At 44.9% G+C, this 26505-nt stretch overlaps 1 protein-coding gene and 2 non-coding genes across 7 annotated transcripts in view, besides 3 other annotated features; 1 reads left to right on the top strand and 2 right to left on the bottom strand.

Annotated features, from left to right (window-relative positions):
- Positions 1-22863, bottom strand: part of SEC61A2 (SEC61 translocon subunit alpha 2) — a 40318-nt gene extending 17455 nt beyond the window's left edge. For 3 of the 5 annotated variants that reach the window (NR_024576.3, NM_001142627.3, NM_018144.4), the window contains exons 1-6: positions 22710-22827; positions 19196-19263; positions 16334-16399; positions 9309-9387; positions 2778-2909; positions 2543-2652 (exon numbers count right to left, since the gene is read on the bottom strand). Coding sequence is in view for 3 of the 5 variants with exons in the window: in NM_001142627.3 (NP_001136099.1) it covers positions 2543-2652; positions 2778-2909; positions 9309-9387; positions 16334-16399; positions 19196-19263; positions 22710-22716 (462 nt within the window). In the remaining 2 variants the exon portion in view is untranslated. Of the gene's footprint in view, positions 1-2542; positions 2653-2777; positions 2910-9308; positions 9388-9938; positions 10072-16333; positions 16400-19195; positions 19264-22709 lie in introns of all 5 variants that reach the window. The other 2 variants (NR_024577.3, NM_001142628.1) reach the window with 2 other exon arrangements.
- Positions 6738-6841, bottom strand: LOC124902579 (small nucleolar RNA U13). Its single transcript, XR_007062412.1, has one exon. It is a non-coding gene; the product is annotated as a small nucleolar RNA U13 (small nucleolar RNA).
- MIR548AK (microRNA 548ak) lies at positions 21688-21744 on the top strand. Its single transcript, NR_039699.1, has one exon. It is a non-coding gene; the product is annotated as a microRNA 548ak (primary transcript).
- Positions 22476-23135: a silencer, noted in NCBI's record as "silent region_2138". NCBI's record gives its function as "represses an Ori minimal core promoter by ATAC-STARR-seq in GM12878 lymphoblastoid cells {active_cell/tissue: GM12878}" and the evidence as "EXISTENCE:reporter gene assay evidence [ECO:0000049][PMID:35858748]".
- Positions 22476-23902: a biological region, named in NCBI's record as "H3K27ac-H3K4me1 hESC enhancer GRCh37_chr10:12170601-12171480".
- Positions 23023-23902: an enhancer, noted in NCBI's record as "H3K27ac-H3K4me1 hESC enhancer chr10:12170601-12171480 (GRCh37/hg19 assembly coordinates)". NCBI's record gives its function as "activates a minimal SCP1, AML or CMV promoter by ChIP-STARR-seq in primed H9 embryonic stem cells {active_cell/tissue: H9 hESC(primed)}" and the evidence as "EXISTENCE:reporter gene assay evidence [ECO:0000049][PMID:30033119]".

Below are 26505 nucleotides of genomic sequence, written 5' to 3'. Positions count from 1 at the left end.
ACAGGTGTGAGCCACCACATCTGACAGTTATTCTTTAAGGAAACGTATCTTCTACCAAATGCGAACACACTGGGGATCAGAAAGCTTCCAAATAACCTGATTTTCATTAAAAATTCCTGCCCTGGGCGGGGCGTGGTGGCTCACGCCTGTAATCCCAGCATTTTGGAAGGCCGAGGCGGGTGGATCACCTAAGGTCAGAAGTTCAAGACCAGCCTGGCCAACACGGCAAAATCCCATCTCTACTAAAAATACACAACTAGCTGGACGTGGTGGCAGGACCCTGTAATTCCAGCTACCGGGGAGGCTGAGGCAGAATTGCTTGAACCTGGGAGGCGGAGGTTGCAGTGAGCCAAGATTGCACCACTGCACTTTAGTCTGGGAGACAGAGCAGGACTCCGTCTCGAAAAAAAAAATTCCTGCCCTGGTCAAATGACAAAACAGTTCCATCTCATTAGAAAAGTCATGTTTATTGTTAACAATGCTAAATAAATACTTGAACAGCATAACTTTCCTGGATATAAGTCACACTCATTAAATAATCATGTTTTGCTTCCTACATAACATTTCTAATTTAAAAAACAGAATGCTCTGTAATCCCAGCACTTTGGGAGGCTGAGGCAGGAGAATCGCTTGAACCCAGGAGGCAGAGGTTGTGTTGAGCCAAGATTGTGCCGAGCTGAGATTGCACCATTGTACTCTAGCCTGGGCAACAAGAGTGAAACTCCGTCTCAAAAATAAAAAACAAAAACAAAAAAACCAGAATGCTCAACCATGCCAGTCTGAGACAGTCAGATTTCCTTCTATGTATATATTAATAAACTGGTATTTGAGATTATTAAAAAATATTTTTCTCAGCTTGATCTTGATCTTTTGAACAGACAGAAAAAAATACCTGGCCGGGCACAGTGGCTCACGCCTGTAATCCCAGCACTTTGGGAGGCCGAGGCAGGCGGATCACGAGGTCAAGAGATCAAGACCATCCTGGCCAACATGGTGAAACCCTGTCTCTACTAAAAATACAAAAATTAGGTAGGCATGGTGGCGCGCGCCTGTAGTCCCAGCTACTCAGGAAGCTGAGGCAGGAAAATCGCTTGAAACCAGGAAGGGGAGGTTGCAGTGAGCCGAGATCGTGCCACTGCACTTCAGCCTGGCGACACAGCAAGACTGTGTCTCAAAAAAAAAAAAAAGAAAAGAAAAAGAAAAAATTTCCTAAACTAATCCCAATTTCATAAAGTGAAGAAGAAGAGGCATTTCCAAGAAAATCAGGACTCCAGATACCCATTGTTTATTAACTTCAGCAAACTTCTTTTCAAAACACAAGAAAGATAACTTAAGTATGATCTGTTCTTGGGTAATTTATCTAAATGGTTTTTAAGGATTGTACAATAGAGAAATAGCTTCCAAACTTAACATATTTTAAGATACTTAGGGCCGGGCGCAGTGGCTCACGCCTGTAATCCCAGCACTTTGGGAGGCCGAGGCGGGCGAATCACGAGGTCAGGAGTTCAACACCAGCCTGGCCAACATGGTGAAACCCCCGTCTCTATTAAAAATACAAAAAATTAGCTGGGCGTGGTGGCAGGCACCTGTAAGCCCAGCTACTCAGGAGGCTGAGGCAGGAGAATTGCTTGAACACGGGAGACAGAGGCTGCAGTGAGCTGAGATTGTGCCACTGCACTCCAGCCCGGGCAACAGAGTGAGACTCCGTCTCAAAAAAAAAAAAAAAAGATACTTAGGACACTAATAATTATGTTGACCTTTAAAAATTCCATTCCTAAGCATCCATTTAAAAAACCCATGGAATATATTTATGTGTGTATAAACAGTGTTTCACTGACTCTAAGACATTACCATGTAAAACATCATTATTTTGTGTACTACTAAGAAAAGAATACTGCCAATTAACTTATGGCACAATACCTTATTGCAAAGAATTTTAATTTTCTACTTACAAAAACGTATTTTAGACCTAGTGGTAGATATTTATCATCTAGCTTGCCCTTCTATACATAAACTTTCATTTCAATAACAAATCACAACAGATTTTCTGAACACCTTTAGACAGCGATTGAACTCAAACACCCATTCTGTGAAGATCACACTCAGCCAACTAAGGTCAGCATGACCTGAACAGGCTGACACACGCACAGGCAGTGACACCACCATGACTGCCTCCTGGCAGACCGCAAGTGGAAGGCACTGTTTACTGTACAAAAACATCCTGATTCTAGAGACATCAAAATGTGACAAATGTGTATCTTAAGAATCAATAAAATACAATTGATCCATAATTCTTTGTATTGTGCAGTTATGAAGCTATTAGAATAAATTTGAATTTTTCACGTCAACACAACTTGAACACGTCACGGTGACAGAAGGTTTTAAAAAAATTTTACACGTATCACTTCAGTGATCAAAATACTAGAATTAAATAATTCAAAAGTAAGAAAATGAATAAGCCAATCACCTAAAGAACTGTTAGAAAAGGAAAAAGGAATCAAACTGTTTTGTTATCTGCATAGGAAAATATAGGATTTCTTACCTGAATGATGATCAGGAGACAGATTCCGGCACCCATTTCTGCAGGGTCCCCATACATCCCCGTCATGACATACACAATGGCTTGCCCAATGGTAATGATCATACCAAACACTGATGAAAGTTGGGGGGAAAGGAGAGCACGCTTACCACCAAAGACAAGAAAAGACTAGAGAAAACATCTTTACCACGAGCACTCTCAAATTTGGAGAATGCTCTTTAATTGCATTAATGCTCACGTTTCTGGGCTCCATTGAATAAAGCTCTATCTTTCGGTGTATCTCCAACTTCAATGATTTTGGCTCCAGCTAACAACTGCATAATCAAACCAGATGTTACAATTGGGGAGATACCCAATTCCATTAAAGTTCCTGGAAAGGAAGGGGAGAGAAGTGTGCAATGTTTGCTGTACACGATACAAACTGATTTAGAGGTGTCGCACTCCCTAATTACCTCAACTGAAACACACGTGAAAATTTTAACAAGCAAATTTTCATTTCTTAAACACTACTTGCTAAGAAAAGTTCTCATTTATTAACACAATCCTGCAGCAATGCCCTGAATAAAAAGTACTATAGGCTTGGCACAGTGGCTCACGCCTGCAGTCCCCACACTTTGGGAGGCCGAGGTGTGTGGATCACCTGAGGTCAGAAGTTCGAGACCAACGGGACAACATGGAGAAACCCCGTCTCTACTAAAAATGCAAAAATTAGCCAGGTGTGGTGGCGGGCACCTGTAATCCCAGCTACTCAGGAGTCTGAGGCAGGAGAATCGCTTAAACCTGGAAGGCAGAGGTTGCAGTAAGCCGAGATTGCGCCACTGCACTCCAGCCCGGGCAACAGAGTGAGACTCCATCTCAAAAACAAACCAAAAAAAAAGAATTTATAGGGAGAAATAAGAAAATCAAATATGCCAACTGTATAAGGAAGGTATGGAATCAAGTAATTCTACAGTGCCAAGACTTCCTGGGCCACTCTGTCACATCACTCCCTTCAATCCTGTTTTCATAAATGCTGAAAAGGTGGCCTTCATATGAGAAAATAGTCCACCTTACGGGGGATTTTTGATGTCGTCTCAGATACTTCCTCAATAGTAAAAAATAAAAACATGTTTTAGTGTTTAAGACATTAGATAGATTTATTGGCCAGGCGTGGTGGCTCACGCCTGTAATCCCAGCACTTTGGGAGGCCAAAGCCAACAGATCACCTGAGGTCAGGAGATTGAGACCATCCTGGCCGTCTCTACTGAAAATACAAAAATTGGCCAGGTGTGGTGGCGTGCGCCTGTAGTCCCAGCTACTCGGGAGGCTGAGGCAGGAGAATCCCTTGAACCGAGGAGTTGGAGGTTGCAGTGAACCAAGATCGCACCACTGCATTCCAACCTGGCGAAAGAGTGAGACTCCATCTCAAAGAAAAAAAAAAAGCCGGGTGTGGTGGCTCATACCTGTAATCCCAGCACTTTGGGAGGCCAAGGCGGGCAGATCACCTAAGGTCAGGAGTTCGAGACCAGCCTGACCAACATGGAAAAACCCCATTTCTAATAAAAATACAAAAGTATCCGGGCATGATGGTGCATGCCTGTAATCCCAGCTACTTGGGAGGCTGAGGCAGGTGAATTGCTTGAACCCGGGAGGTGGAGGTTGCGGTGAGCCAAGATCCCGCCATTGCACTCCAGCCTGGGCAACAAGAGCGAAATTCTGTCTTAAAAAAAAAAAAAAAAAAAAAAATGGCCGGGCATGGTGGCTCACGCCTGTAATCCCAGCACTTTGGGAGGACGAGGTGGGAGGATCATGAGGTCAGGAGTTTGAGACCAGCCTGGCCAATATGGTGAAACCCCGTCTCTACTAAAAATACAAAAATTAGCTGGGCATGGTGGTGGGCGCCTGTAGTCCCAGCTACTCGGGAAGCTGAGGCAGAAGACTCACTTGAACCTGGGAGGCAGAGGTTGCAGTGAGCCGAGATCGTGCCACTGCACTTACTTCAGCCTGGGTGACAGAGCGAGACTCTGTCTCAAAAAAAAAAAAAAAGATATTAGATAGATTTCTTAAGTTAGATCACCAAAATTTATTATTGCAAATAGCTCTAGTCCAGAAATAGACTTAATCAAGCTTTAATGAATATTTGATATAAGAAATATGGCATTTCAAATCAGTAGAGAAAAAAATGGACCTTGGCAAAAAAATTGGCCATTTTTAGGAAATTAAACCTAGATTCCTTACCTCATGCCTCATGCCTCACATCAAAACAAATGCTACATGTATAGAAATTTTTTTTTTTTTTTTTTTAGACAGAGTCTCACTGTCACCCAGGCTGGAGTACAATGGCACGATCTTGGCTCACTGCAACCTCCACCTCCTGGATTCAAGCGATTCTCCTGCCTCAGCCTCCCGAGTACCTGAGATTACTGGCGTAAGCCACCATGCCCAGCTAATTTCTGTATTTTTGGTAGAGATGGGGTTTCACTACATTGGCCAGTCAGGTCTCAAATTCCTGACCTCAAGTAATCTGCCCTCCTCGGCCTCCCAAAGTGCAGGGATTACAGGCATGAGCCACTGTGCCCAGCCTCCATGTATAGAAAATTTAAACATAAAGGATAAATGACAAAAATACTAGAAGGAAATATGGGTGAGTAGCTTATCATCTTGGGCAAGAAAGTCTTTCTAAGCATGGCAAAAAATCTAGAAGCCACAAAGGAAAAGATGGAAGATATGATTAGATACAACTACAAAACTTCCACGTGGCAAAAGGCAGCATAATGGTTAAAATAAAACTATTAAGGCAGACATGGTGGCTCACGCCTGTCATCCCAACACTTTAGGAAGCTGAGGCAGGCAGATCACTTGAGGCCAGGAGTTTGAGAGCAGCCTAGGCAACAAAGTGAGATGCTGTCTCTACAAAAAATTAAAATACTAGTCAGACATGGTGGTGCCCGGTTGTGGTCCCAGCTACATGGGAGGCTAAGGCAGGAGTATCACTTGGCCCAAGAGGTCAAGGCTGCAGTGAGCTGTTTGCACCACTGCACTCCAGCCTGGGCAACAGAGCAAGAGCCTGTCCCAAAAGAATAAAAAAAAATTAAACACAAATGACAAAAAGTTCTTATCTCTCATGTGCAAAGAGCTCTTACAAATCAATTAAAAAGTGAACAAACTGGCTGGGCGCGGTGGCTCACACCTGTAATCCCAGCACTTTGGGAGGCTGAGGCGGGCGGATCACAAGGTCAGGAGATCAAGACCATCCTGGCTAACATGGTGAAACCCCACCTGTACTAAAAAATACAAAAAATTAGCAGGGCGTGGTGGCGGGCACCTGTAGTCCCAGCTACTCAGGAGGCTGAGGCAGGAGAATGGTGTGAACCCGGGAGGCGGAGCTTGCAGTGAGCTGACATCGCGCCACTGCACTCCAGCCTGGGTGACAGAGCGAGACTCCGTCTCAAAAAAAATAAAACAAAAAAAAAAGGAAAAAAACAATTTAAAAAGGAAACAGCAGATACATGATGTGTCTGCTCCTGCTGAAGCTTTCTCAGGAAAATGCAGCACAGGAGTAGGCCCCCAGCATCCAAACCTGTACTGTGCAACCCTGGAACTCTAACTGAAGCTGATCCTGCCTGGTGAGAACCCTGGGCATCTGGAATTTTAAACAAATAATCTGGGGCCAGGCACAGTGACTCAAACCTGTAATCCCAGCACTTTGGGAGGCCAAGGTGGGTGGATCACCTGAGGTCAGGAATTCACCAGCCTGGCCAATATGGTGAAACCCCATCTCTACTAAAAATAAAAAAATTAGTGGCGCATGGTGGCTTGTGCCTGTAATCCCAGCTATTCAGGAGGCTGAGGCAGGAAAATCGCTTGAACCTGAGAAGTGGAGGTTGCAGTGAGCCAAGATCGCACCATTGCACTCCAGCCTGGGCAACAAGAGCGAAATTTGGTTTAAAAAAATAAAATAAAATAAAATAAATCTGGGAGTGTGGAGCTGAATCGCACAGAGAATGGAAAATGTTCACCAATCCCTGCTGCTGAGGCCTAAGGGCTGGCCTTGCTCCCCTTCTTCCTGGGGCTTAGCTGTTCATCTCCACTGTAGATTCCAAAAAATAACCAGTATCCTTCCAGCAAGTATCATGTTTCTGTTTAAGCTAGTCAGTGATTTCCTATTCCTTAATTTTTCTCCTTTATTTAAAACAATGTTTTTTCTTTTTTCTTTTCATGTCAGATGGGTAATGTTCCAACATCCTAACAAGGCTGGAGAGAGGCACATCTCACACACGAGCGTGAAGATCCAATCATCACATCTACGGACTACGAAAGCATCTAGTTTCCTATTACTTACAACAAAAGGAATCTAACACACTAATAAAACTCCACTTATAGAAGAAATACAAATGTTCCATAAAAACAGAAAACAATGTTCAAACTCACCAATCTATAAAGAAATCAAAATTAAATAACTGATGCCAGCTTTTACCTCTCTGACTAACAAAGACTAAAATACTAATAATATCCACTGTTGAAAGAGAAATGGTCATTCTCATATACTGTCGCTGAGAGTGTAAAATCAAACAACTGTTTTGGAAGATAATTTAGCTTTCTCTATCAAAAATTTCAGTATGCCTATCTTGTGACCCAACAGTTGAACTTCTAGAAATTCATTCTATCAAAAAGTTACAGAACGGTGTGATAGCCTTCATTGTAGCATTCTTTATAATGATATAAAATCGGGGGGAAAAAAACGTAATATATGACAAGAAAGGAACCTAGTGGCCTGCAGAAGTTTCCCATCTTCCTTAAAATGTGCTCCATCCAACGGTCTCCAAGCCCTTCATGATCTGACTTAGATACATCTGCAACATCAGGTCCCATCACTCCTCCCTCTTCTTTCATTTCTTCCACCCCACACTCACCTCCTCAATGTTCCTTTTTTTTTTGAGACAGGGTCTGGTTGTGTCGCCCCGGCTAGAGTGCAGTGGCGTGATCTCGGCTCACTGCAATCTCTTCCTCCCAGGCTCAAGCCATCCTCCCACCTCAGCCTCCCAAGTAGCTGGGACCACAGTACACACGACCACACCTGGCTAATTTTTGTGATTTTAGTAGAGATGGGGTCTCACTTTGTTGCCTAGGCTGGTCTGGACTCCTGACCTCAAGTGATCTTCCCGCTTCAGCCTCCCAAAGTGTTGGGATCACAGGCATGAGCCCCTGCGCCTGGCCCCTCCTCAATGATCTTTGAACACACCAAGCACAGGCTCACCTCAGGGCCTTTGCACTGGCTCTTCCCTAGAATATGCCTCCCTCAGGTCTTCATGTGGCCTCCTCTCTCACTTCCTGCAGCTGTCTTCAAAGATCACCTTCCTAGAGCACCTTCCCCACCCCAGGTACCTCCCCAAACAGCAAATATCAACTCCATGACAACTGGGACATTGTCTTGTTCACTGCTCTAATCTCGGCACCTTGCACAAAGGCTGACACACAATATGAACTCAGTAAGTATTTGTTGAATGAATGATCAAATAAATCACAGCGTATCCTTATAATGGAATAATAACATGGCCATTAATAGCTCATGTAAGATATTAAGTAAACAAAGTAGCAGAATAGTATATACAGGACATCTTACTTTTCAGTTATAAGAAGTATATAGATATATGTAAGTGAATGTATGTGCAAAGAAAAGGCCTCAATTGATAGTCACCAATCTACCAAATCCTCCAGAGCTCCCCTCAGAAGTGACACTTTTCTTTTCAGCTTCATATAAATCTGTATATAAATTGCTAGTGCATTTTTAAAATAATAAATCAATATTACCTTTATAACCTAAAAACATCAAAAAAAAATCTGCCATCGATTTAAAGTATGTCCAGGCTGGGTGCAGTGGCTCACACCTGTAATCCCAGCACTTTGAGGGAGGATGGCATGAACCCAGGAGTTCAAGACCAGCCTAGGCAACATGGCAAAACCTCACCTCTACAAAACTACAAAAATTAGCCAGGCATTGTGGCACGCACCAGTAGTCCCAGCTACTCAGGAGGCTGAAGTGGGAGGATCGCCTGAAAAAAGTGTTTCCAAAAAAGAGGCAACCACTGTTCCTAAATGTAAGAAACCTCACGACTGGTTGTACCCCTTGCTACTCTCACTGTCCAGCATCCTCAGCCACAATTTCCCAGATGAACAATGCTGCTTGAGGCTTCAGGCTCAGCTCCAGCTGAGCTCCCCGATTGGCTCACACACTGGACTCCCTTTTTTTTTGGAGGCAGAGTCTTACTCTGTTACCCAGGCTGGATTGCAGTGGTGCGATCTTAGTTCACTGCAACCTCCATCTCCCAGGTTCAAGCGATTCTCTTACCTCAGCCTCCTGAGTAGCTGGGATTACAGGTGCATACCCACACCTGGCTAATTTTTCTATTTTTAGTAGAGACGGGGTTTCACCATGTTGGCCAGGCTGGTCTCAAACTCCTGACCTCAGGTGATCTGCCCACCTTGGCCTCCCAAAGTGCTGGGATTACAGGGGTGAGCCACGGCGCCCCACCTGGACTCCAATTCCAATGTTATCTGGACATCACCTTCTTTGACACTGAAGATCAGGGTTTTCCAGTCCATGAAAACCCAAGAACAGATTTCTCTATGATTACATTAATCACACGGTGTTGTCATTATCTACATACTAGGCTTTTCTAGGCAATGATATCCTCCCCCTCCCTGTAGACATTGAAAACTCATTGCTAATCCACATGTTTCCATCTGTTTGCTGTGAGTAGGAGTGTGGAGACAGAAAAGACACGCATACCTCTATTGGAAGCCAGAATAACTCTCATCCAGTAGAAAGGATCTGCAGAATCTGATGACATGATTCCAAACAGTGGGATCTAAAATAGTACACAAAATAGTTTATGAAACTGTATTATATAAGGCTGAGGCATAAGAATCGCTTGAACCCAGGAGGCAAAGGCTGCAGTGAGCTGAGATCACGCCACTGCACTCCAGCCTGGGTGACAGGAGACTCTGTCTCAAAAAAAAAAAGTATAAAGTGTGCACTTAATTTACAAGGTATTCACTTACTGCTTGCAATACTTTTTTAAAAACTATTCTTATGTTCTTCAACAAAAACAAGCATATCTTCAAGGTAAAGCTGTTTATTAAAAAGAAAATAAAAAGAAAAACATTCCATCACATAGATAAGGGTTAATAAAAAAAATAATTAAAAGAACCAGAAAGTGAAAATAAAAATAAAAACAACAAATCATCACTTGGTGCATTCACTAGTAAATACATCGCTTATGGAGTGTGGTGGTACAACAATGTGAACATTCCTAATGTTACTAAACTGCACATCTAAAAATGATGAAGATGGCATATTTTCTATACTTTTACCACAATTTAAAAAACACTCCCACCAGTAGATTATGGAATATTATACCTGCCTGGTCGTAGAATGATTTTGCAAAGCTCTATATACTAAAGACAGCCAAGGTCACTCTTCTCAATGTAAGACTGAAGATGATATCCACAATGGAATATTACATGGCCACTAAAAATTATGCTTACTCAATCTGTAATAACATGGAAGAAGTACTTATGTCATAAAACTAAATATAAAATAGCAGTTCTAAACTAGGGGTGATTTTAGCCCCCACCCAAGACATTTGGCAATATCTAGAGACATTTTTGGTTGCCACAACTAGGGGCCAAGGTGGAGACCAAAGTGACTCCATCTTGGATGCTAATCTACCATGTTGACTTCTGCTCAACCCTGGTCTCAGGGATACCTCCTGATTCCTGCTTTATTTACAGTCCTTAGTGTAAGAACATGTACTCGCCATAAATCCTGCCCTGAGATCCAAGCAACGTTGATGCTATTACACAAATAACAGGCTGTGACACACAGCATTCTTGCATGTTCTGGAAAGCTGCCTTCAACTGTCCTGCACAAAGCACATACACCCCTTCCCTATGATAGATTAGCCCTGGGTCTGGGAGTAAGAATGCAGGCCTTTCCCTGTCTTACTGCTGCCCCAAACTATGCTTCTGTCTGTAAAATCACCCTCTACTGACAAACTGGATTTGTCTCCCTCATTCATTGGTTTCGCAGCTCCTTCAGTGTTTGCGGGTCATTTTGCATATATGGCCCTTTCACAGAACAGGGGGTGATGGCTAGTAGAGGCCAGAGTGCTGCTGAACATCCTGAAATACACAGGACAGACCCCTGGGGCAAGGAATCATCCTACCTCAAATTCAGGAGTGCGACTGTTAAGAAGCCCTAGTATAAAAACGAAGTACGAAAGTGTATATATAAACTATGACACTGTAAATAGATGCACAGAAAATCAAACTAGGAGGAGATATCTTTTTAAATCCTAAACAGCAATTATCTGTAGATGGTGGGATTATGGTTGACTTTTTCTTCTGTATTCTTTTCATATGTATCAAATTTTCCATAATGAGGACATTAACTTTTCATTAAAACAACAACAAAAAACAACTTAAGTTCAGATTGCTTCCTATTATATAACCCATATTTAGGATACAGCACTTGGCCTTAACCCCTCCTTAACCATGTGGGGATTAGACAAAGACATTTCAAAAACCTTCTCTATATGAAACTGATTTTTAAGAAAGTTACAAAAGATGCTGGCAGCAATTTTAAACAACTCACCTGGTCAACCTAAACCTCCCTGAAAGTCTGAATTTATCAGCTGGGTAATAAAACTGGTAAAGCATGAAACATGGATATTTTATGTGCACCTGGCAGCTGTAGACACTCTTCATTTAAAGTGAGAGGTGAGGGCCAGGCACGATGGCTCAGGCCTGTAACACCAGTATCTTGGGAGTCCAACGTGGGCACATCACTTGAGGCTAGGAGTTCAAGACCAGCCTGGCCGACATGGTGAAACCCCATCTCTACTAAAAATACAAAAATTAGCAGGGAGTGGCGGCTCGTGCCTGTAATCCCAGCTACTCAGGAGGCGGAGGTAGGAGAATCGCTTGAACCTGGGAGGCAGAGGTTGCAGTGAGCAGACATCGTGCCACTGAACTCCAGCCTGGGCGACAAAACAAGACTCCATCTCAAAAAACAAAACAAAAACAGCTGGGAGTGGTGGCTCACACCTGTAATCCCAGCACTTTGGGAGGTCGAGATGGGTGGATCATGAGGTCAGGAAATCGAGATCATCCTGATTAACACAGTGAAACCCCATCTCTACTAAAAATACACACAAAAAAATTAGCTGGGCGTGGTGGCACGTGCCTGTAGTCCCAGCTACTCCGGGGGCTGAGGGAGGAGAATCGCTTGAATCCGGGAGGCGGAGGTTGCAGTGAGCTGAGATCATGCCACTGCACTCCAGCCTGGGTGACAGAGTGAGACTCCATCTCAAAATATTCCACAAGTGGAGAGCGGCCACTCCGCCCAACGACCTTCCTTAATCCGCCATGGTTAGGCGCTCTGTGGGAAACAGCAAGCCAACCTCCCATAATTAATGGTATACCCTCCTTTCCTGCAACCAGTAGGATTATTAAAATTGGTTTCTAATTTTATTTCACTTAGTAAATTCCATAGCTAGAGGATCATGTACAACAACAGGTGGGCAACAATAGGAGCTTATTTTCTATGAATCTGTCACAGTTGCAGAGTTCCAAACTTTGCACTATATTTAATATAATAATCAGTTTCAACTTGTTAAGGCACTCTAAGCAGGTGGCCATTAGCCTGTGGTTGTTTCTGTACCCTGAAGTCTCACAAAAGAAAACTGAAAATGACCTTAGAGGATATTTAATTCTGAATGAGTTTCAGCCAATTACAGACAGTCAACCAGCCTATTGGCTACACAGAAACCTCTCACTGGAACATAATCAAATGAGGCAAACGCCTAGCTGTAGCCAATCAAGTAATTTCTTTACTTCTGCAATTCTTTACTTCTGCTACAAAAGCTCACTGCCCACACCCCTGGAGCAGCTCTCGGCCCCTCTACCCATGTTGAGTGCTGTCAGGTTCATGAATTCTTTTTTTTTTTTTTTTTTGAGATGGAGTCTCGCTCTGTCGCCCAGGCTGGAGTGCAGTGGCGGGATCTCGGCTCACTGCAAGCTCCGCCTCCCGGGTTCACGCCATTCTCCTGCCTCAGCCTCCCAAGTAGCTGGGACTACAGGTATTTGCCACCACGCCCAGCCAATTTTGTATTTTTATTTATTTTTATTTATTATTTTTTGAGACGGAGTCTCGCTCTGTCGCCCAGACTGGAGTGCAGTGGCTCGATCTCAGCTCACTGCAAGCTCTGCATCCTGGGTTCATGCCATTCTCCTGCCTCAGCCTCCCGAGCAGCTGGGACTACAGGCGCCCGCCACCACGCCCGCCTAATTTTTTCTATTTTTAGTAGAGATGGGGTTTCACTGTGTTAGCCAGGATGGTCTCGATCTCCTGACCTCGTGATCCGCCTGCGTTGGCCTCCCAAAGTGCTGGGATTATAGGTGTGAGCTACCGCGCCCAGCTCAATTTTGTACTTTTAGTAGAGACGGGGTTTCTCCATGTTGGTCAGGCTGGTCTCAAACTCCCAACCTCAGGTGATTCACCCGCCTCAGCCTCCCAAAGTGCTGGGATTACAGGCGTGAGCCACTGCGCCTGGCAAGATGACTACTATTAAAATAATCAAAAATACTAAAAGTAGACCAGGATGCAGATCAACTGGAACTCCAGAACACGGCTGGTGGAAATACAAAATGGGGCAACCGAGGGCCGGGCGTGGTGGCTCACGCCTGTAATCCCAGCACTTTGGGAGGCTGAGGCAGGCAGATCACCTGAGGTCAGGAGTTCAAGAACAGCCTGTCCAACATGGTAAAACCCCAGCTCTACGAAAAATACAAAAATTGGCTGGGCATGGTAGCACGTGCCTGAAATCCCAGCTACTCAGGAGGCTGAGATAGGAGAATCGCTTGAACCCGGGAGGCGGAGCTTGCGGTGAGCCGAAATCGTGCCACTGCACTCCAGCCTGGGCAACAGAGCGAGACTACGTCTCAAACAAACAAACAAACAAACAAACAAAATGGGGCAACCACTTGGAAAAGAGCTGACAATTTCTTATAAGTTGAGCATACATTTACTATAAAACCCAACAGCTGTACTTCTAAGGACTCACCCATGAAAAATATCCACAGAAAGACTTATACATGAATGTTCATAGCAAATTGATGTGTTGTAGCCAAAATCTGGATACAACCCAAATGTCTAACAAGCGAATGAATGAATAAACTGTGATAACTTCAACATCAGAACAGTATTCAGAAATAAAAAGGAATGAGTTACTGACGTAACGACCATATGAATTAATCTCAAAAAGATTATGAAGTTAGACACTAAAGAATATACTACTGTATGATTCCATTTACATGAAGCTCTAGAAAAAACAAATCAAAGTACAGTCACAGGATGCAGATGAGTGGTAGCCTGGGCCTGTGGAGATTCACTGAGAAAGGTTACAGTGAACTTCGGGGATGACAGAAGTGTTCTATATCCACAGAGGTTGTAGTCATGTGGGTGTACAAATTTGTCAAAACTCTTCAAAATGTATGCCTAAAAACAGGTGTACTTTACTGTATATATATTATACCTCCACAAGGTTGACTTTTTTTTTAATGGTGGGGAGAGGAGTTTCTAAGATGCTGAAAGTCAATGGTAGAAATATGGATGACTATTCTTTTTTTTCTTTGTATTTTTCTTTGTTTCTTTAAACTTCTCTCCCTGACCATTTAAAACAAATTTAAAACAAGTACAGTAGTAAAAGTACTTTAATTATCAGATCATTTCATCCTTCAGAAAGAAAATATAGTTAGGTTTTCTCCAGATTATGTACCTAATCTGTTCTACTGCTTCCTAATATAATTTTTTAAAAGTTCTTACAAGTATTTCAATAGATTTTCGAACTCCCCAAAAAACCTTGACCTAAATTATCTGGTATGTATGTATGTATGTATCTATGTATTTATTTATTTTGAGACAGCATCTCGCTCTGTTGCCCAGGTTTGAGTGCAATGGCGTGATCTCAGCTCACTGCAACCTCCACCACCTGGGTTCAAGTGGTTCTCCTGCCTCAGCCTCCCGAGTAGCTGGGATTACATGTGCACGCCACCATGCCTGGCTAATTTTTGTATTTTTAGTAGAGACGGAGTTTCACCATGTTGACCAGACTGGTCTCAACTCCTGACGTCAAGTAATCCTCCCACTTTGGCCTGCCAAAGTGCTGGGATTACAGGCATGAGCCACCATGCCCAGCCACCTTGACCTAAATTATCTTATTTAATCTTTACAATAACCCTAAAACATAGGCAGGCCACATTTTATACTCACACTGTGAACTTAATATGTCTGCAACATTTTATTTGAAAGTATCATTGGGCTGGGTGTGGTGGCTCAGGCATGTAATCCCAGCCCTGTGGGAGATACAGGTAGATGGATGGCTTGAGCCCAGGAATTCGAGACCAGCCTGGGCAACATGGCAAAACCTCATCTCTACAATACCAAAAGAAATTAACTGGGTGTAGTGGCTCGTGCCTGTAGTCCCAGCTAGTCAGAAGGCTGAGGTGGGAAGATCACCCGGGCTTGGGGAAGTCAAGGCTGAAGTGATCACTGCAGCCTGGGTGACAGAGTGAGACCCTGTCTCAAAAAAAAACCAAAAAACAAAAACCAAAAAAACACTATCATCAAATTTTAGTAATTTTTAAACACAGTACAACCCAAGATTGCAAAAATTTGGTTTTAGCTTGACCCTTTCCCTGCAAAAGAATTGAAAAATTAGCCAGACATGGTGGGGCACACCTGCAGTCCTACCTACTAGGGAGGCTGAGGCAGGAGCATCACCTGAGCCTAGGAGCTGGAGACCAGCCTGGGCAACATAGACCCCGTCTCTATTTAAAAACAAAAAATTGCCAGATAAAAAAGGGTGTGGTGGCTCACGCCTGTAATCCCAGCAATTTGGGAGGCTGAGGCAGGTAGATCACCTGAGGTCAGGAGTTCGAGATAAGCCTGAACAACACAGCAAAACCCCATCTCTACTAAAAATACAAAAATTCAGCTGGGCGTGGTGGCTCACGCCTATAATACCAACACTTTGGGAGGCTGAAGAAGGTGGATAGCTTGAGGTCAGGAGTTCGAGACTAGCCTGGTCAATATAGTGAAACCCCATCTCTACTAAAAATACAAAAATTAGCTGAGCTTGGTGGCATGCACCTGTAATCCCAGCTACTCGGGAGGCTGAGGCAGGAGAATCACTTGAACTGGGGAGGCAGAGGTTGCAGTGAGTCGAGATCATACCACTGCACTCCAGCCTGGGCAACAATGTGAAACTCCATCTCAAAAAATAAAATAAAACAAAAATACAAAAATTAGCTGGGCATGGTGGTAGGCACCCGTAGTCCCACAGCTACTTGGGAGCCCAAGGAAGAAGAGTCACTTGAACCCAGGAGGCAGAGGTTGCAGTGAGCTGAGATCATGCCCCTGCATCCAGCTTGGGCAACAGAGCGAGACTTTAGCTGGGCATGGTAGTAGGAACCTGTAGTCCCAGCTACTTGGGAGGCCAAGGAAGAAGAATCACTTGAACCCAGGAGGCAGAGGTTGCGGTGAGCCGAGATCATGCCCCTGCATCCAGCTTGGGCAACAGAGTGAGACTCCATCTCAAAAAAAAATTAATAATAAAAAATAAAAAGGATAATAATGCTCAATATATTGAGCTCAATGTATTCTTTATTTTAACAAAAAAAATTCTCAAATTCTAACCAATCAAAACCTTAGAACAATGGTGCAGACATTTATTTAATAGTATAGTTACATACCTGACAACACACTAAGAAAATGAAGAGCGTTATAGCAGTCCACAGAACCTTCTCTCTAAACTGGATCTGTACAACAAAATGTAAAGAATCATCAATCAAAACCAAGAAACAGCAAATTTTTGGGGGGCAGCAGAGTTTTGAGGTTATTCTTTGGGGCCTAATTCACAGAAATTGGGAATGTCCGTTATGTGTTATAAAGGAAGCATTTTTGTTTATTAGGTACAAAGTTTTACAAACATTTTTTTCTCTCTCATACATATACACACACGCACACATATATACAGACACACATGCACAGATGCTTCTTGATGACTGGATAAAGAAGATATGCTGTATATAAATAATGAAATACTTCTGAGCCATGAAAAGAATGAAACCATGTCCCTTGCAGCAACCTGGATGGAACGAACTGGAGGAGGTTATCTTAAGTGAAACAACTCAGAAGTGGAAAGTCAAACACTGTGGGCTCTCACTTAAAAGTAGGAGCTAAACAATGTGTACACATGGACATAGAATATGGAATGACAGAAGTGGAGTCTCCGAAGGGTACAGGGGTGGCAGGAAAAGATGGATGATGAGAAATTACTTAATGGGTACAATGAACGTTATCTGGGTGATGGATACACTCAAAGCCCAGACTTCACCACTACATAATACATTCATGTAACAAAACTGCATTTGTGCTACTTATATTTATACAAATTTAAAAAGAGAAATATGTTCTAAAAAATTAAGCTTATATTTTTTTAAATCTACTTTTACTGAGGAAAGAATTTTCAAATCTAGATTTTTCAGTTTCTCTTTTACTTCAAAATTTTTACCTTAAATATTTTTATTTTATTATTATTGTTTTAAATTTTACTTTAAGTTCTAGGATACATGTGCTGAACGTGCCGGTTTGTTACATAGGCAGACATATGCCATGGTGGTTTGCTGCACCTATCAACTTGTCGTCTAGGTTTTAAGCCCCGCATGCATTAGTATTTGTCCTAATGCTCTCCCTCCCCTTTCCCCCTACCCCCACAGGCCCCTGTGTGATGTTCCCCCTCCCTGTATCCACGTGTTCTCACTATTCAGCTCCCATTTACGAGTGAGAACATGTGGTGTTTGGTTTTCGAAACAGCAAATTTAAAGCACAAATCCACACAAAAACGTAACTAAAGTTCCCCATCGTGACATCCTATTATTCACTCTTAAATGCCCCTTTTTGAAGTACTATCCTAGGTAGACTTTTTTTCTTTTTTTTTTTTTTGAGACAGAGTCTCACCCTGTTGCCCAGGCTGCAGCGCAGTGGCGCAGTCTCGGCTCACTGCAACCTCTACCACCCCAGGTTCAAGCGATTCTCCTGCCTCAGCCTCCCGAGAAGCTGGGACTACAGGCGCACGCCACCACGCCCAGCTAATTTTTTTGTATTTTTAGTAGAGTCGGGGCTTCACCATGTTGGCAAGGATGGTCCCCATCTCTTGAGCACCTGCCTCAGCCTCCCAAAGTGCTGGGATTACAGGTGTGAGTCACTGTGCCGGGCCTAGATTGTTTTCTAATGTCCCTTTCACCTCAGTAGCAGCTACAACAAACAGCTGAACTTCCTAAATATAAGTTTCTTTACTTTTCATAAAAAAGGTAACTTAAATACAGGCAGTTCTCATCTGCATTGTACGGTGTTAAATGAAACTGAAAAGGAGCCAAAGCAAAACAGGGATCCAATGTGCACGCGATTCGGTGAACACTGCACTGTGCGAAGGTGGGCCTGCTGGTGACAGTGCCATATGAATATTTTATAGACTGCAAAGCCAGGGTTTCTCAGGATGCCTTAAATGTTAATGGAACAACTATTTTTACAATCTCAAAGCAATAAAATACTTCTAGCCGGGCGCGGTGGCTCACGCCTGTAATCCCAGCACTTTGGGAGGCTGAGGCGGGCAGATCACAAGGTCAGGAGATCGAGACCATCCTGGCTAACACGGTGAAACCCCGTCTCTACTAAAAATACAAAAAAATTAGCCGGGCATGGTGGTGGGCGCCTGTAGTCCCAGCTACTCGGGAGGCTGAGGCAGGAGAATGGCGTGAACCCGGGAGGCGGAGCTTGCAGTGAGCCTTGATGGCGCCACTGCACTCCAGCCTGGGGGACAGAGCGAGACTCCGTCTCAAAAATAAATAAATAAATAAATACTTCTAAATCAAATAGTAAGTTTAAAATTCTTTTACCTATCTCTATGTCCCTATTCCTGTTAGTTTGATGAGAAATTTGTAGTTTGATGAAGAATTTCTAGAAATTGGCCAATCTAGGATTAACAATATTTCCAGAATTTAAATACCTGAACTCTGAAAGTTTGCAATGATGGAAGAACGATTTGACCCAGTCACAATATCTTCTGAATGCATTCCTGTCATTTTTCTTTCCAACGAATGAATCAAGAAATGGGAGGTATATATTTGTGCAAATGCAATTCATTTACATAAAACAGCTGTACTCATCAAAACCTATCGAGCAGACTGGGTTATTTCTAGTCCAGTAGGTGACATCATTAGCAAACACAATACACACCCAATACTACAGGATTTATAAAGGATCACTACAGACAGGAGAATAACCTGTCTTAACTAACACATAGGCCGAAGAAACACTTAATTTGGAAATGTCACAACTTAAAGAACAGTCATTTTTGAAAGCATGAGTTAACCTATCTAGATTTAAACAGATTTATATTATTTTTATTCACTTTGTGCCTCTTGCAAGGAGGATGAACACCAATAGTTTTCCAATTACCAACAGAGAAGGACTGAGGTAAGGAAATGAATTTTGCTGGTTTCATAGAACAAGCCCTTGAGCTACCCTCTATATTACTAAAATATTATACTTACTTTCCTTTCCGGTTTCTGAATTTCTGGTAGAACTGCACAGAATGGTTTGATAACTTCTAAAAATTTGACTGTAAAAAGAAAAATAATAAATGTTCCTATTATTATGAAGTTAAAAAAAGATCTGTCTTTCTAGAAAATCAAATACAAAGATTCTCTTTCACCAGCAATTCACCCCACCCTTAAGCCCCAAATTAAATCATCATACTGTTCTCCATTTCAAATGATATGTAAAGGAAGAGATATCATTCCAGGGACAAAGAAGTCCAAATGGTTTGATGGCTGGTCAGTAGAAGTGAAGCAATCCAAGCAACCTTTTTCCAGAACTTTCTTCCTCACACTTGTATCCAATCATTTTACATATACAAAAAGGGGGCTGTTCAAAGGGCATCATACTTTCTTCCTCACACTTGTATCCAATCATTTTACATATACAAAAAGGGGGCTGTTCAAAGGGCATCACGACGTCAAAAGGGAGCAAATGTACTCTACCGTGGTACCCGTGAGACAATGCATGACAGAAGAAAGCAGGTATCAGAGGAGGAAGACAGGAGGGTGCCTTCTGCACTCAGGAAGCACAACGGCAAATGGGCTCTTCTGTAGAGAACTGCCTTAAACAACTGAAAGATGCCGAAATGCATAGGTGACAAAAAAATCATGGAATCACCTCCTATAGTTAACTTTTTTTTTTTTTTTTTGAGACAGAGTCTCGCTGTGTTGCCCAGGCTGCAGTTCAGCGGCACGATCTCGGCTCAGTGCAACCTCCACCTCCCAGGTTCAAGTGATTCTCCTGCCTCAGCCTCCCGAGTAGCTAGGATTACAGGCGAGTGCCACCAAGCCCAGCTAATTTTTTTATTTTTACTAGAGATGGGATTTCACCATGGTGGCCAAGCTTGTCTCAAACTCCTAACGTCAAGCGATCCTCCCATCTCAGCCTTCCAAAGTGCTGGGATTACAGGCATGAACCATGGCACCTGGCCCCTATAGTTAACTGGTTTGTTTTTGTTTTTTGAGACGGATTCTCCCTCTGTGGTCCAGGCTGGAGTGCAGTGCCGCCATCTCGGCTCACTGCAACCTCCGCCCCCCGGGTTCAAGTGATTCTCCTGCCTCAGCCTCGTATATAGCTGGGATTACAGGCGCACGGTACCATGCCTGGCTAATTTTTATATTTTTCGTAGAGCCGGGGTTTCACCATGTTGGTCAGGCTAGTCTCGAACTCCTGACCTCGTGATCCGCCCGTCTCGGCCTCCCAAAGTGCTGGGATTACAGGCGTGAGCAGTACCCAGCCCCTGTAGTTACCTTTTTAAAGTATGTAGGCCGGGCTTGTTGGCTCACGCCTGTAATCCCAGCACTTTGGGAGGCCGAGAAAGGCGGATCACTTGAGGTCAGGAGCTCAAGGCCAGCCTGGCCAACATGGTGAACCCCCGTCTCTACTAAAAATACAAAAAAAAAAATTAGCAGGGCGTGGTGGCGGGCCCCTGTAGTCCCCCCTCCCCAGGAGGCTGAGGCAGGAGAATGGCGTGACCCCAGGAGGGGGAGCTTGCAGTAAGCCCGGATGGAGCCATTGCACTCCAGCCTGGGCAGCAGAGAGAGACCGTCTCAAAAAAAAAAAAAAAAAAAAAAAAAAAAGGTATGTAATCTCTGTTTGATTTCATCAGACCACATTTCATTGCCTAGTTACTCTCCCAGGTAATAGAAAAGTACTTGCTTGTGTAAAATAATCAACCCAGAGAATTAACAATTACATTTCATCAGAAAGTATTGTTTTCCCAGACTACTCTTATAACATATAAAGGTAAGATAAATCAAGGTTCTTTAAGGATAGACACTGTCTTCTGGCACGGCTTAAGTCAAGTCCTGCCAGAGAACTGGAGGGTGAAAATGACAATCTCTCAAGCTTCTGTCCTTTGCCAAAGGGTCTGCAATGTGGAGAAAGACAAGCCGCAGCTAGGTATTAGTTAGGCTCTGCGGCTTTTCTTCCCCTACAGACACTGGATTCTATATACCAACATCCCAAAATTGTCTTAAAGCTGACGTGAGTGATTACGTTTCTGTAGTTGCCTAAAGTTGACTATATTATCTTTTTTAAAAAAGCCTCTACAAATGATGGGCAGTCACCGATATATGTTTGTTTATTTCGAGACGGAGTTTCGCTCTATCGCCCAGGCTGAAGTGCAGTGGCATGATCTCCATTCACTGCAACCTCCACCTCCCGGGTTCAAGGGATTCTCCTGCCTCAGCCTCCTGGGGAGCTGGGATGACTGGCGCCCACCACCACACCAGGCTGATTTTTATATTTTTAGTAGAGATGGGGTTTCATCATGTTGGCCAGGCTGGTCTCGAACACCTGACCTCGGGTGATCCGCCCTCCTCGGCCTCCCAAAGTGCTGGGATTACAGGCGTGAGCCTCTGCGCCCCACCAGTCACTGATGTTTGACAGAAGGATTAACTAATTGTCATGGGCAGATGTTTGTTACCCAAGTACTATTAGGTTGGTGCAAAAGTAACTGCGGTTTTTGAGAAGTAATTGAAAACCGCAATTACTTTTGCAGCAACCTAATATTTTGGATTTTCTGGAAAGTAAATCTGAATTATGAAAGCATTCATTGCTAACGCGAAACAAGTATCAATCACATCAGGAGGCTTCCTAGAACCTCTCCATCCCTTTTCCTCTCCACCTCAATCCAAGCCACTCTCAGATTTCTTGACACTTTATGATCATCTGTAAGGGGTATTCATGTTCAAGCAAAGCTTTTGGCTGCCCCCTGTCTATCCTTGTGATGCAAAATTTTACCACGGGTCTCTCCTACTCCTTTCTAATTTCCCCCAAATGTCCACTAGTTGGCCAATGGGTGCCCTGCTTGGGTATGCACGACCCATCATCCAACGAACATCTTCACAGCTATGCAAGTAGCTACGTGCACATATGTGGGGTTGAGTGTTACGGGGAGGGCCCTGAAAAACATTCCTATAACATAAGGCCTTGTCCCTAAGGCTTATAAAACCTTACAGTTTTCAGTAAACGCTACAGAATGAACAGTTTAAGGAAAACGCTGTTACCAATGCACACTCCTTTCCTCCCTAAAACACACGCCATGCATCACTTTTTTTAAAATTAAACGAGTTAGGGGAGCTTTCTTCAATGCAACATGCCAAGGAAAGATGACGAGGGAATAAAAACACGGGATTTCTTTAACTCCTGAAAAATTAAAAAGTGGTCCAGGTTCACCCGGTGCCCTAACTCCCCGCCCCCAAAACCAATGGCCTCCCAGCGCCATCCTCGCCCTCTATCAAACGCAAACCCCGGGCCTCCGGGTCCCGGTACCCGCCGGGCAAGGCCTCGCACGGCTAGGGGAGCCTCGGCGGAGGCCCCCGGCCCGTGCCCTCCGCTGAGGCCCGGAGCGGCCCGCGCATCCCTGGCCCCCACGACTCCGAGCGAGCGCCAGCCCCACCGCCCGCAGCCCAGGCGGGGCCTGCGTTCCCAGCCAGAGTCCCCGCTCCAGCCGCCGCTACTCACTGCCCATGGCTGCTGCTGGGGAGGCCCAGGGGGAAACCGCGGCCTCGGCGCTGCCTTCGCTCGACTCCCGCGGCTCGGGCCTCGGTACCGGCTCCCGACGCGATCCTACCGGCCCCGCGCAGGCTCCGCCCAACCCCGCGCAGACTCCGCCCTTCGCCACCTGACCCGCGCGCCCGACCGGCCCAGCCCCGCCCCCAGGGCGGGCCGTTGGCCGACGTCCGCTGCGTTGCCATGGTGACCACGGGCGCCGGGGCAGGGCGGGCCCGGTCCCAGGACCCGGGACCCGGGAGGCGGGGCTGGCGCGCCTGGGGGCAGGGCTCGGGCGGGCAGCCGTGGGGCGTGGAAGCCGCGCAGAGGCCAAGGCTGCGGGGTTCTTCGTCGTCTACAGGCTTTCGCGGCTCAGTGTGGAAAACCCGCCGTTTCCTCGCGCCCCACGTCCGACCCAGGCCTCCTGGGCACCCTTCGGGGAGGCCGCGATCTCGGCGCCGCCCAAGTAGCGCGGGGAACACGGTTCTGGCCCCGAGGCCTGGGACTGAGCCGCTGAGAGCGGACGGGACCGAACCAATCGTATTTTGCTTCCTTCTTTTTTTTTTTTTGAAACAGAGTCTCGCTCTGTCGCCCAGGCTGGAGTGCAGTGGCGCTATCTCGGCTCATTGCAAACTCCGCCTCCCAGGTAGGTTCACGCCATTCTCCTGCCTCAGCCTCCCGAGTAGCTGGGGCTACAGGCGCCCGCCACCACGCCCGGCTAATTTTTTGTATTTTTAGTAGAGACGGGGTTTCACCGTGTTAGCCAGGATGGTCTCGATCTCCTGACCTCGTGATCCGCCCGCCTCGGCCTCCCAAAGTGCTGGGATTACAGGCGTGAGCCACCGCGCCCGGCCGCTTCTTATCGTTATCTCTTGGAAGTTTGTAAACATTTGTGACACGTCGTTGTGTATAGTTAATAGTTATGAACTCCTCTGTCTCGACGTAAGCTAGTCCCCTCCGTCTTCTCCAAAATACAGAGATCAGGATCGTATGCCTCCTACCGTGGAACAGTTTTCCTGAAGCCACTGTTATCTTTTTTCTTTCTTTCTTTCTTTTTTTTTAAGAGCCGGTCTTGCTCTGTGGCTCAGGCTGGAATGGAGTGCGGTGACACAATCATAGCTCACTGCTGCCTCGAACTCCCAGTCTCAAGCGACCTGCCCACCTCAGCCTCCCGAGTAGCTGGGACTAGCAGGTTTCCGCCACCAAACTCACCCAATTTTTGTATTTTTTGTAGAGATAGAGTCTTGCTATGTTGCCCAGGCTGGTCTCGAACTCCTGAGCTCAAGCAATCCAGCTGTCTCAGCCTCCCCAAGTGCTGGGATTACAGGCATGGGCCACCAAAACCGGCCTCAATAATCTGTTCTAATGTTCAGATCTATGTTCATGAAATAAATTATATATTTCAGGGGGGCGTGCAATTTAGGTCCAGCTTGCATGAGTCTCTGCTGTACTTGAGGTCAGCTGGGACAGCCCCAGGGCTGGGGACTGGAATGATCAGGTGGCTCCCTCATTCCCCAGTCTGGCATTGGGTGCTGGTGTCAGCTCCAGCACCTCCAGATGGCTTCTCCAAGCGGCCTGGGCTTCCTCACAGCGTGGCAGCTGGGGTCCAAGGGATGTCCTCAGAACTGAACCAGCATCTTTTACTGCATTGTGTCTGTAGGGGCAGCCACAAGTCCTAGGGACACCACCTCTAGGGGAGATTGTGGCAAGATTCTGGAAGAACATGTGGGATTCAAAATACCGCTGTGGGAATTTTTGGAAAATCCAATCTGCCACAGTAATAATCTCCCATCCTGTTAATTCATCCTTACCTCACTCTACTTTGTATTAGTCATTTTTATACTTGCCTAATCTCCCCTGATATGCAGTAAACTTCTAGATAGAGTGGTCGTTCTTACTTTTTCTACTATGTACAATAGCCTACAAAATGATTGACTTAAGTGCAGTTTTGACACTCAATTATGAGCTAATTTCATGAATGCAATATCCTTTCAATAAAGATGCACTAAATTCCAGCCTGGGCAACACAGTGAGACCACGTCTCTATGAAAGGTAAAAAAAACAAAAATCAGCCGGGCATGGTGGTTTGCGCCTGTTTTCCCAGCTTTTCAGGAGGCCTCAGGAGGCTGGCTTGAGCCCTGGAGGTAGACGTTGCAGTGAGCTCAGATCGCACCACTGTACTCCAGCAAGCGGCGGGGGGTGGGGGGGGGCAGGGGGAAGATGCACTAAATTGAAAATATCACAGAAGGTGAAGAGTATCCTGTGCCTCTTTTTACTGCCTATTTCTGGGATAGTTCCATGGTTCAAGAGCCTGGGAATGAGCTTTGACACTCTGGATAAACTTTGTGAATTACCCTTCCACCATTCTTTTTTTTCTCTTTGAGACAGAGTCTCGCTCTGTCACTGGGCTGGAGTGCAGTGGCCAATCTCAACTCACTGCAACCTCCACCTCCCAGGTTCCAGTGATTCTCATGCCTCAGCCTCCTGAGCAGCTCAGATTACAGGCACATGCCACCCTGCCTGGCTAAGTTTGTATTTTTAGTAGAGACGGGGTTTCACCATGTTGGCCAGGCTGGTCTTGAACTGCTGACCTCAAGTGATCTGCCTGCCTTAGCCTCCCAAAGTGCTGGGATTACACATGAGCCACTGCTCCTGGCCCCTTCCACCATTCTTTCTACCACTACATGCCATGCCACCTAGGGCTTTTCCTTGTTTAACTGCAATGTGCCACCTAATCTACATCCATCCAGACTCTCAAGTCTACCTCCTTGATCTTTCATTGTTTTAGCACATCCAACAAGAAAATGTCTCTATGTATTAAATGCTTTGTCTTCTCAAATAGATTGTTAGCCCATTGAGGACAGTGGGCAACCCATTTTATCTTTTACTTCTGTGTATTTCTAAGGTCCATAAAAATGTAATATAGGGACTATATGTCCAATAAAGTATTTATTGATGAAATACCATTTTACTCTTAAAAGGTCATTTCTGGTGTTCAGTTCAATTTTAGCTGGATCCCCATATGAGTCAAAGAAAACAGGGACACGACACTAAAGTAATATAAATACTTTTTTTTTTTCTTGAGACAGGGTCTCACTCTGTCACCCAGGCTGAAGTGAAGTGGCACTGTATCGGCTCATTGCAACCTATGCCTCCCCAGTTCAAGCACTCTGCCTTCCTTATCCTCCCAAAGAGCTGGGATTACAGGCATGGGCCACTGTGCGCCCTGTTTAATTTTTTATGTATTATTATTTTTCACAGTATGGATCTCACTCTGTCACCCAAGCTGGAGTGCAGTGGTGAGATCATAGCTCACTGCAGCCTCAAAGTCCTTGGCGCAAAGGATCTTCTCACCTAAGCCTCTGGAGTTGCTGGGACTACAGGTACACGCCACTGGTCTGACTTAAATAATTTTTAAAAATTAGACTGGGTGTGGTGGCTCATGCCTGTAATCCCAGCACTTTGGGAGGACAAGGCGGGAAAATCATTTAAGGCCAGGAGTTTGTGACCAGCCTGGGCAATATAGCAAGACGTCGTCTCTACAAGAAAAAAAATTTGTTTAATTAGCAGGGCATAGTGGCAGGCACGTTACTTCTAGCTACTTGGGAGGCTGAGATGGGACGATCACTTGAGCCCAGGAATTCGCGGCTGCAGTGAGCCGTAATCGTGCCAGTGCACTCCAGCCTGGGGGACAGAGTGAGACTCCGTCTCTAAATAAATAAATAAATAAATAAAATTGCAATTAGCAGTGAGGAAAGGAGTCTGCTTT

The sequence above is a fragment of the Homo sapiens genome, chromosome 10 (assembly GCF_000001405.40).
Source record: "Homo sapiens chromosome 10, GRCh38.p14 Primary Assembly".
NCBI lineage: Eukaryota > Metazoa > Chordata > Mammalia > Primates > Hominidae > Homo > Homo sapiens.
Note: the sequence above shows the minus strand (reverse complement) of the source record. Positions and strands in the feature narration are given on the sequence as shown.